The 20,343-nt window shown below is 32.9% G+C and overlaps 2 long non-coding RNA genes across 3 annotated transcripts in view; one reads left to right on the top strand and one right to left on the bottom strand.

Moving 5' to 3' along the window:
* LOC105378810 (uncharacterized) overlaps positions 1-20,343 on the bottom strand; it is a 136,420-nt gene that overhangs the window by 79,289 nt on the left and 36,788 nt on the right. The window contains exon 2 of the long non-coding RNA XR_001738113.2: positions 15,239-15,413. This is a non-coding gene — a long non-coding RNA (uncharacterized LOC105378810). The remainder of the gene's footprint in view (positions 1-15,238; positions 15,414-20,343) is intronic.
* On the top strand, positions 58-15,375 carry LOC105378811 (uncharacterized). Of its 2 annotated transcripts, XR_947529.3 has the most exons (6): positions 58-373; positions 899-1,215; positions 3,356-3,554; positions 3,767-3,835; positions 11,549-11,674; positions 15,294-15,375. It is a non-coding gene; the product is annotated as an uncharacterized LOC105378811 (long non-coding RNA). The 2 variants fall into 2 exon arrangements; XR_947528.2 differs by lacking the exons at positions 58-373; positions 899-1,215 and adding an exon at positions 2,390-2,583.

The following is a 20,343-nucleotide window of genomic DNA, read 5'->3' as shown; positions in this document are numbered from 1 at the left end:
TTTATGATGTCATCTCCACCCCAACCAATCAGCGGCAAGCGCCTGTTACCTAGTCACCCCCGCCTCTTCCCCCAAAGCTGCCTTTGAAAAACCCCTAACCTATGAGCTTCAGAGGAGATGATTTGAGTAAACTCCATCTCCCATGTGGTGTTGCAGGCCTCGTATCTACTAAACTCTCCTTATTACAAGTCAGGAAGAACCCCTTAGGCAGTTACTTTACTATACTGAAATATAGGAAAAAAATCAATCATTTTCAGAGCTGAACAAACTAAATGTTTACCATAACAGATCCTCAATTAGGAAATATCTAAATAATATACCTCAGAAGAGAGACTATGGTCCCAGCTGGAAAATTTAAAATGCAAGAAGAAATGTCAGTAAGAGTTGATATGAAGTTTGGTAAATGTAAAATAAAATTTACTCTGTACAAAAATAAGAACTCGTGGTTTGAGACGTAAGAGGAAAAGAACATTAAAACTGAAATACTTGACAATAATAATACCTAAGGCAAAGAGGGTGGTCAGAATCCTAAGACCACTTAGAATAGAGATATTTTAAATTTAGATGTATGACGTTAAATATACCTGTCAAAATATGAAGAGAAGACAATAAATAAATGTTTTTAAAAATGAAGTGCATAAATTCTAAAACAGAATTCTGTTTCAGGAGGAAACAGAATTAGCAATGGTAGGAAAGGAGAAAAATGTATGAAAAATATAATTAATTTTTACTACCGAAGGAAAGTTTCTGTGTAACTTAGATCTTTGCCTTTGAAATAGGAATACCATTAATGCCATTAATTATTATTCTTAGATTAGTTTTAAAAAATGTTTCTTTTGTTGTTGTTGTTGTTGTTGTTGTTGCTGTCATTGAGACAGAGTCTCGCTCTATTTTCCAGGCTGGAGTGCAGTAGTGCAGTCACAGCTGAGTGCAGCCTCCACCTCCCAGGGCTCAAGCAATCCTGCCACCTCAGTCTACCAAGTAGCTGGAACTACAGACCTGAACCACCACACCCAGCTAATTTTTTATTTTTTGTAAAGATGGGGTCTCACTGTGTTGCCCTGGCTGACCTCAAACTCCTGAACCCAAGCAATCCTTTCACCACCTTGGCCTCCCAAAGTGTTAGGATTAGAGGAATGAGCCATTGTGTCCAGCCAAAATAAATATTTTAAGCATGTATAACTACTAAAGAGGGATGCTGTGTATACTGGAGGAGTAAGTTCATTTCCAAAGCATTTATTGCAGCATTTTGGGAAATTTGGGGGTGCACAGATAAGACTTTCAGATGAAAGAAATAAACAGGCTAATTTTATTAGGTGTATAATATATCCAAATTACTTCATTTAGCTAATACAGAAAGAGGGACTACCTCCCTCCTTGCTGCATTCCTTCCCATACTCCCATACTCCCTTCATGCCTTTTGGTTCTACTTCAGCTACACATTTCCTATGAGACGTGTGAGTCATATATGTTGAGCAATAATAGGCACCAAGGATACACAAATGACTAATTCTTTCTTTATTCTCAAACAGCTTGCAATCTAAATGTTGTCATATGCCTGGGAAAATAGTCTATGCAGGGATGATAATTACAATGGAATTATAGTCACATGGCAAAGCACATGAACTAGTAGTAATTGCAAACACATTCCTTCATGGAGATGATGTTGAGCTGAGTCATGATGTAGAAATTAGTGAAGTTGAATGGGAAAAAAAAAGAATAAAAATTTTCTAAGCATAGGGAGCTCTCTGAGCAAGAAGGAGTCAAGAGAAGGCATTTTGCATCGTGGAAGTTACAAAGAAAGGCATAGTTTGATAGGGTGACTTGATGAGTATGAGAGAAAAGGGAAGATTTGAGGATAGAAAACTGAGAAAGGGCAAGCTCTTGAAAGACCTTATATGCTGCACAAATAAGTTTAGAATATATCTCATAGGCAATGGGAATCAATAAAATAAGAACGTGCTATAATTTGATTTGTGTTTCTGAAAGACTCTTTTGGTTGTACCATAAAGGATTAGAAGAGAACAATACTAGAAGCAAGAACAATTGTTAGCCTGCTGATGCAAAACCAAGATGAGAAATGATGAGAGATTAAGTCCAAACAGTAAAGATTGGTGGTGAAGATTGAAAGGGAGGATAGAGTCTGTCTGCAGTTTCTGACTCAGAATGCATTTTTCTGGGTATATGCAATTCCACTCACTGACAGAGGGGGACCAAAAAGAAGAGGATGAACAAGTTTGTGGGGGGAAGATAAATATCTTTTGCGCAGTTTAAATTTAGGAAATAGAGGTAGTAACCTGTAGTAGAGTGAAAGATCGAAACATAAAACAGAGGTAAACTTATTAGCCTCAACCAACCCATGCTATATGTTTTCCTTCTGATCAATCCCAAGTACTAACGGAGCGACTAAACAAAATGAATTTTTGCATCAAAATGAAACATTTTACCCTGAGTACTTTCTAATGAAACTATGTATAATTACCTGATACTAGTATAGTGATCTAAACCTTAGAGGACTAAAGTCGAATATTCATACCACCACGCGCAAAGGGCAGCATAAAGGGATGAAGTGAAAATATATCAGTAAGTAAAATACTGATTGAAGGTAGTAAGCTTCATTTACCCATTTATTCTATTTCCAAGTGCATTATTTAAAACATCTTTCTCATTTCTGACACTATAGGGTCTTCCCAGACCCATAGGACATGATAACTCATGGTCTAATACCAATAATTTGAGACTGGGAATTTAGTAAATTTTAATCAATGTTTTATGTGTACATCTGAGAAAACATATACTATTAAAATCTTCAGTGCAGAGTTCTCTATGTATATCTGCTAGATTTTGTTTATTGGTTGCTTTGTTTAAATCTTTATCTCTATTAAATTTGACTACTTGATCTATTAATTACAAAAATGCTTTTAATTGTGTGCACTTCAATGGTATATTCATCAAATTCTCTGTTTCTTTTTTTCTACAATATATTTGAAGTCATTGTTCAGTGACCTTACTTTTCCTTAGGATTTTTTTTTGCCTTATATTCTAAATATCTGATACTGATAAACCAACATCTTTTTTGTTTAATATTGCACTGATATAACTTTTATACAACTTTCTAAAATTTTTCTTTGTATTTATACTTTACTTGTATCTCTTATAAAGAGCGTATAATAGGATTTTAAAAATTCATTTATATTAACTTAAAAAATAAGTTGTCTATACTTTATTATGATTATTAATATATTATATCTATTTCTACATAATTAGTTCTAATTAATTAAATTATAATTATTTATTTTTAATTGACTACATTATTTCTAATTTAGTTAATTCTATTTGATTTTACATTTAACAGTTTGCACCACATTTCTGCTTGTAACAGCAACTCATTTTTAGCGAGAAATAATTGAATAAGCTCAAAGACCCTAAGATCGGGGTGCTGAGAAGAGCCCAGGCAGCACAACATGAGGACAGTGCTTTTCTTATAAGAAAAGGGAAGAGATAAAAAAGATGGACAGAAAACAACATAGATGATTTGGCAAAATGAGATAGAGGTGAGATATTGAAGGGGTAGTAGATTCATCGTAGGGTAATGTCCTGCTTGAAATATAAATAGAATTTTGCCCTGGCCTATGGAAAAACATTTTTTTTTCTCCTCTTCATCCTCGTTTGTCAAATCTTAATAAACAATTATACTCAGGAAAACTTTTTCACATTCTTTGTACTTTGTTTTGTTCTGTTTTCTTTTCTTTTGTTTAAATAATAGGAGGAACTGTCTTCCATATGGGGATATACCAGTGAAGTCAGACCACATTAACAGCAACAAAAATCCAGAGTGAGTGTGAACATCAGAAAATAAATGATATAATACTTTTGTTTTATGAGAAAAGGAATTAGGATGATGAATGTATACATAAAAGATGAAGTTGAGTCATTGATCTATCTTGGTTGTCTATAATTTTTGTTTGCCTTTGCTATGGACTGGATGTTTGTTGTCTCTCCAAATTTTATACATTGAAGCACTCATAAAATGTTTAAAAATTAAGTATTCTGCCAGGCGCTGGCTCATGCCTGTAATCCCAGCACTTTGGGAGGCCGAGGTGGGCGGATCACCTGAGGTCGGGAGTTTGAGACCAGCCTCACCAACATGGAGAACCCCGTCTCTATTAAAATACAATATTAGTATACCTAATGCTAAATGACTAGTTAATGGGTGCAGCACACCAGCATGGCACATGTATACATATGTAACTAACCTGCACACTGTGCACATGTACCCTAAAACTTAAAGTATAATAATAATAAAATAAAATAAAAAATAAAAAAATAATAATATTAGCCAAGCGTGATGGCGTATGCCTTTAATCCCAGCTACTGGGAAGGGTGAGGCAGGAGAATCGCTTGAACCCGGGAGGCGGAGGTCGCGGTGAGCCAACATAGCGTCATTGCACTCCAGCCCCGGCAACAAGAGCACATAAGCTTTTGGGAGGTAACTAGATTAGGTATGAGTGTGGAGTCCTCGTGATAGTATCAATGCCCTTATAAAAAGAGGAAGAAACAGGAGAACTCTCCTTCTCTCTCCCTCTCGTTACCTCTCTCTGTATGTCTGTCTGCCTCTCTCTCTCTCTTTTCCTCTGTTAAAACACCAAGGAGCCATGTGAGGACTTAACAAGAAGGCCATTTACAAACCAGAAAGAGAACCCTCACTGACACCCAATCTGTCAGCACCTTGATCTTGGAATCCCCAAGCTCCAGAACTGTGAGAAATAAATATTAGTTATTTAAGACACTCAGTGAATGGCATTTTGTGATAGCAGCCCAAACTGACTAAAATAGCCTTTATATTCCCTAAATAAATTGCATAGAACAACTCCAAAACTGTAACCGATTAAAAAGTATACAATTGTGAGCTATCTTTGTGTCTTACCTGCTGCAATCTTTAATATTGCGTATTTTAAGAGTAAATAAAAATTTAAATATGTAACAATTTATAATGAGAAAAAGTTGGTATTTGCTTCTAAAAGAGGATAATTCAGAAAAATAATTGAACGAGAAAATCTATACACTACATAGCCAAAAGACACTACAACATTTCAGATGAGTTTGAGAAGTAAGGCTATTTAAAGGGAAGGTAGGACCTCCGTTATATGTAGCTGCTACAGACTACCACTAATATTCTTACTAAATTCTATTGTGAATAGGTATTCTGTTTAGTGCTAAACTGAAACTTTTATTATATCTAAACTTTTGTCTGAGGCTGTATTAGGGTTCTCCAGAGAAACCTAACCTTTAGAGAGAGAGAGAGAGAGAGAGAGAGAGAGAGAGAGAGAGTGTGTGTGTGTGTGTGTGTGTGTATGAAAAGAGTTATTTTATGGAATTGCCTCACAAGACTATGGAGCCTGGCAAGTCCAAAAATCTGCAGAGTAGGCTGGCAGACTGAAATTCCAGGAAAAAAGCCCATGTTACCATTCAAGATCAAAGGCTTCCTGTAACAGAATTTACTCATGCTTGGTGGAGCTCAATTTTTTGTTCTATTTAGGTCTTCAACTGATTGAATGAGGTCCACTCATACTATGGAGGTAAAATCTGCCTTATTCAAAATTCACAGATTGCAATGTCAATCTCATCAAAAAACACCCTTACAAATACATCCAGAATAATGTTTGACTGCAGTATTTGGGGACCATGGTGGAGCCAAGTTGACATGTAACGATCAACCATTACAGAAGTTTTTAATGTCTTTTACATAGTGGCTCTTTATAAATAATAGTAAAATTGGAACATTAATTTACTACATAATCATTTCTTCATAAGTGGTAAGAAAACACAATTACCCTGTGGTAGACATGGTTAACTATACTTTATGCTAATCTCTGTGTTCTATTTGGCTTACCTAATTAACTCTACATAGGGCCCCAGACATAGCTTTGCTGCAGGAAGACTTTGGGCAGTCTTTTGAATTCCTAAGAGAGTCAGATGAATAACAAATAATTGAATACCAAAGAAATCAAAATGTTAGTTCTCTCCCAAGAAAAGAGATTTGTGAAATTAAGACTAGTGGTTCTTTAACAGTTATCCATTCATTTGCCTACATTTGCCTTTATATGCTGTATTCATCCTAGGAGTACTAAATCATTGAAAAAAAATCATATCCAGCAATCCCACTACTGGGTATCTATCCAAAGGAAAGTAAGTCATTATATGAAAAAGACATATGCATATGCATATGCATGTTTACAGCAGCACAATTTGCAATTGCAAAGATATGGAACCAATCTAAGTGCCCATCAGCCAACGAGTAGATAAAGAAAATGTGGCATATACACACCATGGAATACTACTCATCCATAAAAAGAAACACAGTAATGCCTTTTGCAACAACTTGGATAGAGTTGGAGGCCATAATTCTAAGTAAGGTAACTCAGGAATGGAATACTAAATATCATATGTTCTTACTTATAAGTGGGAGCTAAGCTATGAGGATGCAAAGTCATAAGAATGATACAATGGACTTTGTGGACATGGGGGAAAGGTTGGAAGGGAGGTGTGGGATAAAAATGTGTGTGTGTGTATATATATATATAATATATATAGTATATATAGTAATATATATTGTGTATATATAGTAATATATAGTATATATAGTAATATATATAGTACATATAGTAATATATAGTATATATAGTAATATAGTGTATATATAGTTATATATATTCTGTATATATAGTAATATATATAGTGTATACATAGAGTAATATATATTGTGTATATATAGTAATATATAGTGTATATATAGTAATATATATATTGTGTATATATAGTAATATGTATACTGTGTATATATAGTTATATATTGTGTATATATAGTAATATATATAGTGTGTATATATAGTCATATATAATGTGTATATATAGTAATATATATATTGTGTATATATAGTAATATATATTGTGTATATTTAGTAATATATATTGTATATACAGTAATATATAGTATATATAGTAATATATAAAGTATATGTAGTAATATGTAGTATATATTGTAATATATATATTGTATATATAGAGTAATATATAGTATGTATAGTAATATATATAGTATATATAGTAATATATATTGTATATATAGTTATATACATTGTGTATATATAGTAATATATATATTGTGTATATATAGTAATATATAGTGTATATATAGTAATATATAGTATATATATAGTAATATATATTGTATATACAGTAATATATAGTATATATAGTAATATATATTTTGTATATATAGTAATATATATAGTAGATATATATAGTAATATATGGTATATATAGTAATATGTATATTGTATATATAGTAATATATATTTTGTATATATAGTAATATATATAGTAGATATATATAGTAATACATGGTATATATAGTAATATGTATATTGTATATATAGTAATATATATTGTATATATACTAATATATATCGTGTATATATATATATATAAAAAAATTGAATACAGTGTACACTACTGCTCCAGTGACAGGTGCATTAAATCTCAAAAATCACCCCTAAAGAACTTATCCGTATAACCAAAACCACCTATACCCCGAAAACTATTGAAAGGAAAATAAACATTAAAAAAATTATAGTCATAAGATGGAAATGTATTGATCTATCACAGACAAAACAAAAGAAGTGCTTTACTGGCCAGGTTATTAGAAAGCAATTGATTGAATAAATAAAACAGGGACTCCTTGCTAAGCCAGTTTCTTTGTTTTGTTTTGCTTTGAATTATTTTGAACCTATTTTTTAAGGAATTTTTTGAATTACAAAAAATTCAAACATATATAAATGTATAGTGTAGTATAATAAATCACCGCATATCCATCATCTGAGTTTAGCAATTATGGACTTATGAGTAATCTGGTTTCATTTTCATTTATACCCCTCCTTCTTCTCTCACAGACCCAGATTTCATTATAATCCATAAATATGCCTGTATGCATCTCGAAAAGACACAAACACACCAATAAAATGACCATAATATAATTATCACAGTTAAAATTAACATTAACTTTATAATACAATCAAAACACCAGTCAGAGTTCAAAAGTCCCTTTTTCATATTGTTTGTTTGTTTGTTTGTTTGTTTGTTTGTTTGTTTGAATAAGGATTCAAACCAGCTGCAGTCTGCATTTGATTGATTTGCCTCGTAGGCCTCTTTTAATCTATATGTTTCCATTCTCTCTTTTTTTTTATTTTGCAATTTATTTGTTGACAAAACTGGGTCATTTCTCCCCTAGAGTTCTCATGTTCTGGACTTTGATGATTGAATCTCTATGATGTTGTTTAATGTTCTTCTATCTTTTATATTTCTACTAGTTGAATCTTGAGATGTGTTCTATTTCAGGTTCAACTTTAGGCAATAATGCTTCATTAAGGATGTTGTATATTTCCATCAAGAGGCAAATAAGGTCTGCTTTCCTTGCCTTTTCTTGTGTTTTTCACTACTGATGGTCATTGCTTAAACCTGTTATTTTGTAAACTTAATTTTCCTCTACAAATAATCAGTAAACTTAATTCCCCGCTACAAATAAAACTTAATTTTTATCGCCAAGCCCTTGTATCCACACTAGAGAAATAAATGGTATTAAGATATAGTGATTCATCCATTTATTAAACCAAAGTACACTGAAATCTTAGTAAATGTAGGCCGCTGTGCTAAGCGCTGAACATATAAAGATGGATAAGACACAATCCCAGTTTTTAATTAGTCAGGAGGCTGGCAAATGAACTAGACACAAAAACAAATATATTAAAATATGATAATCACTGTCTAGTTGTATGTAAAAGGAGAAAGGGTGAACTGATGGAGAAATAATCCACTGTTGAACAATTTTAGAAATAATTGCTCTGTATGTCTATGACTTGGTGTGTGCTGTTTATTTAAATAATGTTTTAAAATTGAAAGCACTTTGGCCACTTTAAAAAGAATAGAAAATAAAAAATAGTGTTAATGCCCATATATAAGTCCAAGAGAACAACCGTTATCATTTTGTTGTCTGTTTATTATATTTCTATTTTTATGTAGTTATAATTTCTCTTCTTTTTTTAAATATGATAAGGCAGACTTTATTTAAGGGGAGCCATGGTGATAAGTTTAGGGATCACTGCAACAGGATATTGTAGGTTGGAAAAGAGTCTAGACTCAATTCCAAGTTAAAATCTTAATAGGTAGTTTTATATCCTGCTTTCCTCCAAACGTCTTCATATACCAAAATATTGTCTACTTTGCCAGTGTCTTTGGGACTATCATTTTAAATGGCTAATTGATATTCATTTTTATGAATTAATTCTGTACTAATCAATTATTTTTCTATTGTTGGATAAAGATGTCGATTCTAATTGCTCACTTTTTAAATAAGCATTCTCATGTATATAACTCTTCTCTCATTTTCTATCATTTCCTATTGAGAGACAATCAGAAGAAAAATACTTTAATCAAATACTTTAAATTTTGTTATGTCTTTCCATGCCAATGGCTCTCAAATCTTTCTGTTTTAAATCCAAAAGAACAATCAAACAAAAATGTTGAAACTCAGCTCACCCCACCCTTCCCTTGAGGAAACACTAATACTGAGATAAGAAAATATTTTTTGAATTGTACTTTCTGATGTTTGTATCATAAAAATAAACGTTTTTATATTTCTAATATAAAATTCTAATGTAATACTTAACAGGTTTTTTTTCCAAGTTATTTCGAATGATGTGCACACATAATTAAAATATTTATTCCATAAAATATGCCCCAGAGTTTTAAGAACATGGCCTTTAGAGTTATGCAACCTAAGTTTAAATCCCAAGTGGCTACTTGGTAAGAATTTGACCTTGGGCAAATTGCTTAACATTAGTAACCTCAGTTTCTCCTTTTGTAAAACGGAAGTGAGAATATCTCATACCCAAGGTTGTAAAGACCAAACTAAACATCTTACTAAAGTTTATCAGTGCAATGTCTTACATTAAACAAATGGCAGCTTTTGTTTTTTTGGAAGCAGGATTATTTGTTTCCTGAAGAGTAAGTAAAAGGCAAAGAAAAGGGTTGCAAGCAAACACTTTTATACGGGGATAAAACCCCTTCAATCAACTTCATAATTCCATCCACCTGCAATATTCTTAAGATGTATCTTTTTTCAGGGTTTTTCATCATGAAGGGGAAAGAAAATATAACACACTAACAACTACCGTATATCAAATTTGAGCCATTTGCTTAATATGTTTTACTTAATTTCCAAAAAAGTTTAGAGAAGAAACAAGGTTTTATATCTTCTATTTGCAAATAAGAAAATTAGAAGTAAATAATTTACTCTGCTTGTTTCCACAGTGAGTAAATTGAACCCAGTCTGTGTGACCTAAGGCCTTTGCCAATAGTACTATCATTTACCAAAGTCATAATAAAATGTGAAATTGTTGACAGGCCTTAAAGAAAGCTGAATGAGGCCCCATTAGGGAAGAAGTATTTAAAAGCCAACTCTGATTTTTAGCTGCTAGGGATGCTCTTCCACTAATTCTTGGTCTGGCCAGCATTCATGCCTTCTTCCAAGTGTAACATAAATGCTACTTTCTTAGTTGTCCTCCAAGACCCAAACTCTCAGTCCCTACCCACACCAGGCCATGGTTAATCTCCCCATTAGAGACTCTTTTTTTAATTAACATTCTTCACAATTAAACTTTTAATAATTCTTTTAATGCTTTTTGTTTAATGTTTATATCAATCACCAGGTTATAAAATTTAGAATAGAATAGGAAGTAGCTGTCTTGCTTACCACTGGGTCTCTGGTCTCTGACATTTGCTAGGTGCCATATAAATAATTGTTTAATAAATAAACAAATATATATGTATACACACACACATATACACACACACATGGTCTATATAGTATATACGACTACATATATAATTTTAACTATGTGTTATTTTTAAGTAATAGGGAATTAGACAAAAAACATTTGGGTACCACTGCCCTATGGTATTAGTTTAGATCCTATGAAACAAATGCAAAAATATGAAAACTAAGAGTAGAATCCCCTACTTAATCAACAAAATTGGGCTAGAGGTGTTTTAAGAGTACTGAGTATTATTTTTTTGTTGGCAGTATTTATGCCATTAATGGATTATGCCTTAATTAACTTGAATTTTCTTTCCTCTCTTGGTTTACCTTTAGAGCAGCTAAAAAACAATGAAATATTCAAATTCAATGTTGTGCCTTTTGTGGCAATCTGTAAAAGAAAGAACACACTGGATACTTCCCAGCAAATGGCTGACAAGAAAAAAATAAGAAAAAATTAAAAACTGTTACTTGTTTTAGAAAGAAACCACGTATTGTCCTCCAAACATATTTAATAACTTATCAGCTGCAAAGAGTATAGAGAAGATACACTGCATAATCCTTTTTCAAAATATTCAAACACCCACATCTAATTTTTTTGAGTGTATGTCAGTGTCTCTAATAATATGACTGCTATTTTAGTCACAATAATGACTGTAATCTTTGATTCTGTAGGTGGTATACTTCCATGTCCATATTATTGGAAAAAAATTCTTAACCAGTAAAAGCATGGCACTGTGGATTAAGTACCAGGCTAACATCAAGGAAATCAGGTGATGATAGCCTACTGTATGTCCCCAGGTAGGTTTTTGACTTGGGCATTGAGTTTGGTTGTTGTTATTGCTGTTTTTATTCAATTAGGAGTGTTGGCTTTTTAGGGTTTGATACTTACATATATGTTTAATGGAGCTCTAGTTCAAAAGTTGAAAACTGGTAGATTTGGGTCAATCTAGCCTGCCAATGTGTTTTGTTTAACCTGCATAATATTTTAAACTTTTAAAAAAATAGCTGTCAATTTTTCTTTTTTAAATGGAGGATGGCTTATGAAAGTCTAGATTGAAGACTTCTTGTGAGAACTCAGAAGACATGGCAATCAATGGCAATAATGAGTCCCCATCATACGGGAACATTGGTTGAAACTGAGGACATGCACAGCCCCCTTTTAGACCTGGGATTTGCTATTTTCTCCACTAATCTCTATTTTCCTCCTAACACCAAACACAAATGTTAGGTAGCAATCATCAAATAATTTTTTTTCTTTTGCTTTATTGTTTTTCTAAGAAAAAAAGAAAAAAGAAAAAGCTCTGGCTACTAAACCATTCATGTTTGTTGCACTTCACTTTTCCAGTCTTGCTTTAATTAAAGGACTAAGGAATGTAGAACAGTCAAACCCTACTAGGAGCTCATGATAAGATTAGCAGCAAAATATTAAGTTTTTCTCTTAGTGAAAAGAGGAAATCCCATTTCCTCCCAATGGGATATCATATTTTGTGAGTACCCTGAATATCTTGACACACAGAGTTCCTGCCCTTGCTTTTCTGGTGTTTGCTAATACTTAGTTATCCTTAATGCAGTGTCTTTCAAGAATCTTTTCTAAAATGGTAATGCTCAGTCCCTTTTCCATCCAAATGCTTCTGTACTGACTGCAGAATGGGGACCTGAGACACGATTTAAAAAACACATTTGCACTAAGTGTGAATAACCTTAACTTGATCAGATCGTTAACATTCATGCTCCCAGTTTGACAAACCCAGTAACAGCAAATCAAGTTCAAAGCCTACTGAAAAATGCTGCCATCTAACATGAAGAAGTGTCTAAAGCTGACAACTTCAGAGCCTTTAGTGAGTTACAGGGATTTTCCAGTAACTTAGAATATATCATGGAGGTACATACCTCTTCTTTCTAGAAGTAGGGCTTTTTGTGTGAAGTGAAAAATTAAGGCAAACTTCTTTTCCTTGAAACATCCATATCACTGAGAAGCTTTGTTTAAAGAGTCAAGATTAGCTAGAGAACCAGTCAGTTCTCTTCATTTCTATACACACTGTTTTATAGGATGATTAAATACTGAACTGAAAGAGACACCTTAGATGTCTCCTGGCCCAAGCTTCTCATTTTATAGATGAAGTAACTGAGGTTCATAGAGGTTAAGTGCTTTGCTGACAATCAGTTATTCTTGCAGAAACCAAGGTCTTGACTTCCAGCCTTATGTTCCCTACATTATGCTACACAGTTTCTTAATGAAGGTGAAGAAAGATGTATATAGTTTAATCATCTCTCCATTGACAGACTGGCACTATGGAAAAGGAGAAGGCCACATTCCTCAATATTAGGCAGAGAGCTTGGTTAATGTTATCTTTAAGTATTACCCTCAAAGAAAATAAGGAGTGCTTTGAAATTGTAATAGCAGATCTCCTCTTATGGTACCACTTCTTCCTTTCTTTGAATGGAGTTTCAGATTAGTTTATTTAAATTAGGATTTACTTCAATTGAGTAAGGACAATATTAAAGATTACCTTGGGGGAAAAAGGGGATCCTTTGTCAATTGCAGTGTATTTTTCCTAGAGAATTCTGTTTCTCATAGTTAATAGAAGGAAGGGGATTGTTTTCTAGTTCTAGGAACAGAACAGATGTGACTTTCAAGGTTGGCGCTTTCCTAAACTCTCCAAAAAAGCCAAAAATTCATAGGAATCTCATTAAGTGTAAACACGCTTGTCTTAAATAAACTTTCAGCTGTTACCTTGAAATTTAAGTAGACCTCTGAATTAAGCTAGTTAATGAGGGCTTAATTGGGGTAATTTAGATTTTAATTTTAATTTTAAGATTATAAGATTGTAAAGAGGTATCAGCTTCATACTTAATTGGATCCTTCCAAATGCCCATTCTGACTGATGTCTATTATTTGATCAATTTGCTTTGAAAATCTATTGTGCCTAGAGAAGGATATTTGGTTTTGTTATTTTGTGTTGTTTTTCCTCTATATTTTTAATTACCTTGTTTGTTTTATGCTACTAACATGGTGCTATATCATTCCTATTAGTGTTTGCAAGTTGAAGCACACGTGTGTCACAAATCCTGGCAGTAAATAATTAAAGTATTTAAATAAACTTGTGTATATGCTACAGTTCTCTGGTTGAACAAATTTGTAGAGCAAGATCTTATTTTGATCTATAATTATAGCTGCCAGTGACTGGCAAGATCCTTACTGAGTCAGATTAATTTACACATTAAGCAGCCATCTGTAGAAATTTTCATAGTACCTCGTTTGCAATGCTATGTATCACATGGGAATTCTGAAACTACGTTGCCACTAGGGAGCTTTTAACACCGTGGTTGTAGGCTTATAGCTATGAACAAATTGTTCCAGACATTTACATTTTTTTCTCCTTATTACAAGGTTGCCTAATGATCCAAGAAAAAGTATACAACAGTTTAGACCCCTAATGACAGAACAATTGATAAATTAAGAGCATTCATTTTATTTTCTTTAAAAATATGCCCTTGGCCTTACGTTGAATAACTTAACAAGCTTCATGGAGTAGAATATCCTTAGTAGTTGGGCCATAGTTGCAAACTATATTGTAAATTTATCAGTATGCTTCCTTAAAGAGAAACCAAATGACACTGTTATTGCTATAGTAGGCTGATCTAAGAAAGGTGAAATTATTTCAATGTCTGTAACCGGGATATTACAGAGGGAATGAACAATGTTTCAGACTCCAGAATGTTAATTTATATAATACTGTTTAAATTAAAAGTACATTCATGCAAAAAATTATTTGAAAATTATAAGTGAACACTGCATTATTTTGTGCAATAGTTCACTTACGGGTCATTAAACGACTGAGGAAAACTAGCACAAATTACTCAGTGCTACTCAAAAAGCATTGATTTAAAGTGTTCTTAAAATTTAAAAACTTCAGCCTCTGTAATGAACACTGGTTACCTGTGAAGTTCATGACTGAGGAATATATTTCAGATTTGTGACTTACCCATTTCTTTTTTAGCTAGAGACATTGTACTATGTTTAGAAAGAAAGAAAATATAAAAAGAAGGAAAGAATACATTAGAAAGTCAACCAACAGCACAATCAGGAACTCGAGGTATTACTTTTTAGTTGAGAGAGGTAATAAGATAGAGAATCCTAAAACTTTAACTAAAAAGGAATTTCTTATTTACACTGAACACTATAATACCCCTTCTTACATGTCATTTCAAAGTGCTGCTGAAAGAAGTCGAGAATCTAACACAGAACAGGGACCAGTTAAAAAATTTCCAAAGAAAAACACTTGGACAAAAGTGAGCACTTTCACAGCATGTCTACACTACATGGTTTTACCAGGATAGGACATGAGTAATAACGCTTACCTGTGCTTATCCGTGAATTGTTTTTACAATGCACACCTGAATGATACAATTGCAGGCAGGAGCCAACACATTTGCTGGTACAGATGAGCTGCGTTCCTCACGGAGCACGGGCACATCAATTCTGGAACAGTCAGCCCCATCACCATGCTGCTTTTCTATTTGAACCTTTCATGCCCTGCAAGACAAGGCACGTGAAGCTGTTTTTTTTTTATTATTATTGTTATTTACACTAATATTGGAGATAGAGGATGAATCCCAAGCAAATTTGCCTTTCTTTAATTAAACCCTAGTTCCTTTTTTGTTTCATTCATTAAAGGTCTTAACCAAGACATGCAGGCCATTTGGTCAATAATTTATAAATTATTGATATGCAAGAGACACAAAATGGAAATAAGGTTTCTGCTTCTGTCAACTCTGGATATCACCCGAGTATGTTTGAACTATGTCTTACTCGTCACTCTGTTTCAAGATAGTGAATTGGCATAGAAATTGAACGCTAACTGTACCTTGATTACTCGAAGAGTATGACAGGCTTGATCAAAATGAACGCTTTGGGAAATTATTAATTTAAAAACAACAAATGTAAAATGATGAGGTATCAAATTAAAGGATGGCTCTCACATTGATTTAGATGAATTGTGCTATTTCTCATTGATATTCCCTATCTCTTAAAAAATTGTTACACTGTAGAGCACTGTTAAATCTAGGTGGTGTCGCTCTTCTTTTTTAAAGAAAAACACACTATTTTTAATAAAAATAGTAATTGCATAGGTTTGTGTGGCACAATGTGATGTTTCAATACATGTTTACATTGTGGAATGATTGAATCAAACTAATTAACAAATTCACCTCATATAATTATCATTTTTAAATGATAAAAACATTTAAAATCTACTCTTTTGGCAATTTTGAAATATACAATGATTATTATTTATTACAGTCATCATTTTGTACAATTCTTATTTAAAGAAAATGTGCTCCCAATCTTAATGCTGAAGAAGTGCATTTATACATTCCACCCTCATAATCTGCTAATCAAATGAAGGCACATAAATTGTTGATGTAGCCTGTAGAATCCAAATAATACTCTGGAATAGAGAAGATTAAACCCAGCAGGGCATTTGGCTGTCTTCTCAAATTAGAAAATGAAAATAGTTCATCATCTTCATTGACAGAAAGAGAATCTCCCCTCAGGGACAAGGATTTTTGGCAATCTTCTCAATACATTTATCCTAGTACTGGTGAGGGTATAGGCAAAGTACAGAATGCTCACAAAAAATATTGCATTGTATTTGTGTTATTTTATTTGTAATATTGTATTTTATTTCTAAAATGTAATTGCTTTGGCCAAAGTAATAAACCATGAAAGAGCTTCTGACCATGTTGGTACACTCATCTAGCTTTTTTGTTTTTGAGACAGAGTCTCGCTCTGTTGCCCAAGCTGGAGTGCAGTGGCGTGATCTCAGCTCATTGCAACCTCTGCCTCCTGGGTTCAAGTGATTCTCCTGCCTCAGCCTCCTGAGTAGCTGGGATCACAGGCGTGCACCACTACGTGCAGCTAATTTTTGTATTTTTAGTAGAGATGGGGTTTCGCCATGTTGGCTAGGCTGGTCTAGAACTCCTGACCTCAGGTGATCCACCCACCACAGCCTCCCAAACTTCTGAGATTACAGGTGTGAGCCACGGTGCCTGTCCTTCATCTAGTTTTGAGCATAGACCTAGGAAAAGAGTGTATAACCACTCCATGAGTTTCTTGCCTTGAAAAAAAGTAAGACAAACAAAAAATCTAGGGAAAAAAAGCTGAAGTTCCTTGTATTTCTAGAGAGAAAGAGAGAGACAGAGAGAGAGAAGAAAGAAAGAAAAGAAGGAAGGAAGGAAGGAAGGAAGGAAAGAAAGAAAGAAAGAAAGAAAGAAAGAAAGAGAGAAAGAAAGAAAGAAAGAAAGAAAGAAAGAAAGAAAGAAAGAAAGAAAGAAAGAAAGAAAGAAACTGCTAAATAATTATGTCCTCTTCTTGAAAAGATATTTGAGTTCAACAACTTAGGAAATACAACATTATAGTTCAAGAGCATTACTTAGGAAAACAGTATATAATTGTGTTACCGTTTTACTACATCTATTAAAGATATTGGAGAAACAGTCATCCTGGATTTGCTAGTTACTAAGATTTGGTTCCCAGGAAAGAATATATTAGAAACTATGCTAACATTTTGTATCATGCGACAGGTAGAGTTAGACTTCATTTCTGTTCAATATTTCTGATTTTCAATAATTAATTCCAGCTTTATTTTAACAGATTGATGGAATCATTGTAGAAAATTTAATAGATATTACATTTGGTCAAAAGTTAAAAATGATTTCACAATTGCATGCCCAAGAATTCAAGTTATTCTACACAGAATCATGGGGGAATAAGAAGATTATTGTAACTGATCTACCCAGCGCAAAAAGAGTAATAGATGTATGAAGATGTTTATATTTTCAAGACAGTGAAGAGTCATCAATGTCTTCTGCAAACCATTAGTAAATTGTCAAAAAGAAAAAGAGATTTATATCAAATTTACTTAAAATAGGGTTTAAAAATAATTACAAAGGGCATAAAATGCCTTTCCAACAGAAAAAAAACAAGCAAACAAACATTACCAATCATAGATCAGACTTATGATACATGACTTCTAGTGAAACACATTGACCAGGGTCCAACACCAGCTATGTAGCATTATTAGAGAAGTATGAATTATATCACAAAAGCAGCTGCCTTGGATTCTTTAAGTTTTAATACATTAAGACAATCTTTTTTAAAGCAGGGCACTATTTTAGATTAAAAGAGAGTAAAGAGTTATGACAGTTAACTTATAGCATGTGATCCTTAATTGAATTTTGGCTCAACACCAAAACAATGAAACAGCTGTGAAGGACATTACCGGGACAACTGAGGTCATTTTATAATGGACTGTAAATTAGATAAATCTGTTTGATCAATTTTTAATTTTCAAGACTTATAATTATGGAGTTATTGTGATTATGTAGAAAATGTCCTACTCTTTTTTTGTTGTAATTTTTCAAAGCTTCATGCAAAAGTAAAGTCATGGTTTATGCAACTTATTAAAAAATGGTTTAGCTAAAATGTATCTATGTATAAATAGACTTAAAATGGCACAATGTTAACAATTAGTAGGCCTAGCTGGAGACTAGCTGCGTACTTATATCATACTATTTTTTCAACTTTGCAATTGGTTTGAAGATTTTCAAAATAAGAACACTGTGGAAAAATGAGTTTCTCCATGAAGTTGTAAATTGTGGAGTGCAACATGTTCACAAGCTTCCAAACTGTGATGACTGCATCTCAAGTGTAAAGCTCTGGACAATACAGAAATAAAATATGATGGCAAAATATGCAGAAAGCTTATGAGTTGGTAATAAGCAAGATGGAGTCAATAAATGTTTTAAGAATATTGATAAGTACAACATAAGGCAACATTATGTGAAGTTACCATCAGGAAAAACAGCAATAAATGGCACATGTTGAAGATGCCAGAAAAATAGTTATTCTTTTCAGAAAAAAGTACCTAGTTGCCTGTAAAGTCATAACCCAAGGTCTAACATGAAAAGTTTTAAGTTAGAGCACTGTACCTGGTATGTAAAGAGTTGTCAATACATGTTTCCTGATGAATTAATGAGCCTATGAAAGAAAATACAGTGGTCATACACAATTACTCTGAGCTATTGTTTGTTTTTATTCATAATCCATATTGGTAGCTGTTGGTGTTTTTGATTTCCCAGAGAAAAACAAGCATAGGGACTTTTTACAATGCTTATCGTCAACTCTACATGGGCTCTGCCAGAATGCCACAGTAGGCGTTCTTTGATGAAGGAGTATTTCCAAAAACTAATAATAATTATAGCATCAGCAGAATTGGTTAAAAATGAAATTGCTGTTACTCTTCGCATTATCCCCTAACATGTTGCTTTTATTGCTTGTTTATTTGAAACCCTCTGTTGTTCAGATAAATAATTAGTATGACATGCATTGTTATTTTTAAACAGGATATCAGATTGTTCTTTGGTTTTGAATTAACTGAAGATCCTTAAGAAATAGATATTGAAGGTTTTGTGAAACTTTCACTGTAGTTTTATCAAGAATTGTTCAGGAGATCTGAAATGGGCAAAGTAATTAGAAATAGAGAATATAAATCACCACTAATCTCTTCTGACAAACTCTTATATCAAAAATAGTTTCACAGGGAAGCCAAAACAAGTGCATGCTTTTAGATATCACTGGCTACTGACTTTTATACTACCTAGAGAGGGAATTTTATAAATATAATAAAATTGCCTCTCTATGCTGCTATTTTTAATTCTAATTTTAATACAATTAGTAAATGGTGTCTTCTCCAATGGCTACAAGTTATCAGGACAGTATCTGCTTCAAACATCTTTGGCTAACTTTCAGTTAGCAGGCTTTCAAAACAATTCCTTTTCCACTAGTTGCCATCCTCTTCCAGGAAGAGATAATTTTCATAAAATTTTGTAGGTAAAACATACTGACAAATTATGTAGTCTATTTGCTTACTTTTTGGGTAAAGAGTTGATTCACGGAAAGGTAAAATGATTGGCCTGGGATCTAGCTAATGGCAGATTAGAACTAAATGTAAGCCTTTGGTATTCTGGTTCAGTGGACTTTCTACTGCATTAAAATGCCTTAGTTCCCTGAGGTTCAAAGTAGTCCTGTTTTACCTATGATGTCTTATTGCTCCAGTTATTGACTTTTATAAGTACAAAGACAAAGGAAAAAATTACTATTGACTTTGCCTTATGTAATATCAGAAAAACTTTAGCAGTGAAAAATTATAGAAAAAAAAGATTACTGATTATTGAAATTTCCAAGCATATAATCAAGATGGAAAACTCAAATCTTAGATTTAATAAGAAATAGTATGATGCTATATTCATGACTACACATTAGCAGATTTTAGCAAATATTCTGAAGATGAAATTAGAGTACTGATTAATTTTTAAACACACTTAACTCCCTTAGAGATGCCATTCAGTAGTGTTTCTAGTCAGGAAATATCCTGATATGAGCTAATATAAAGTTTAGAGGGGTC

The sequence above is a fragment of the Homo sapiens genome, chromosome 1 (assembly GCF_000001405.40).
Source record: "Homo sapiens chromosome 1, GRCh38.p14 Primary Assembly".
In the NCBI taxonomy this organism is placed as follows: domain Eukaryota; kingdom Metazoa; phylum Chordata; class Mammalia; order Primates; family Hominidae; genus Homo; species Homo sapiens.
The sequence above is the reverse complement of the archived record's forward strand: the minus strand, read 5'-3'. Positions and strand labels throughout refer to the sequence as shown.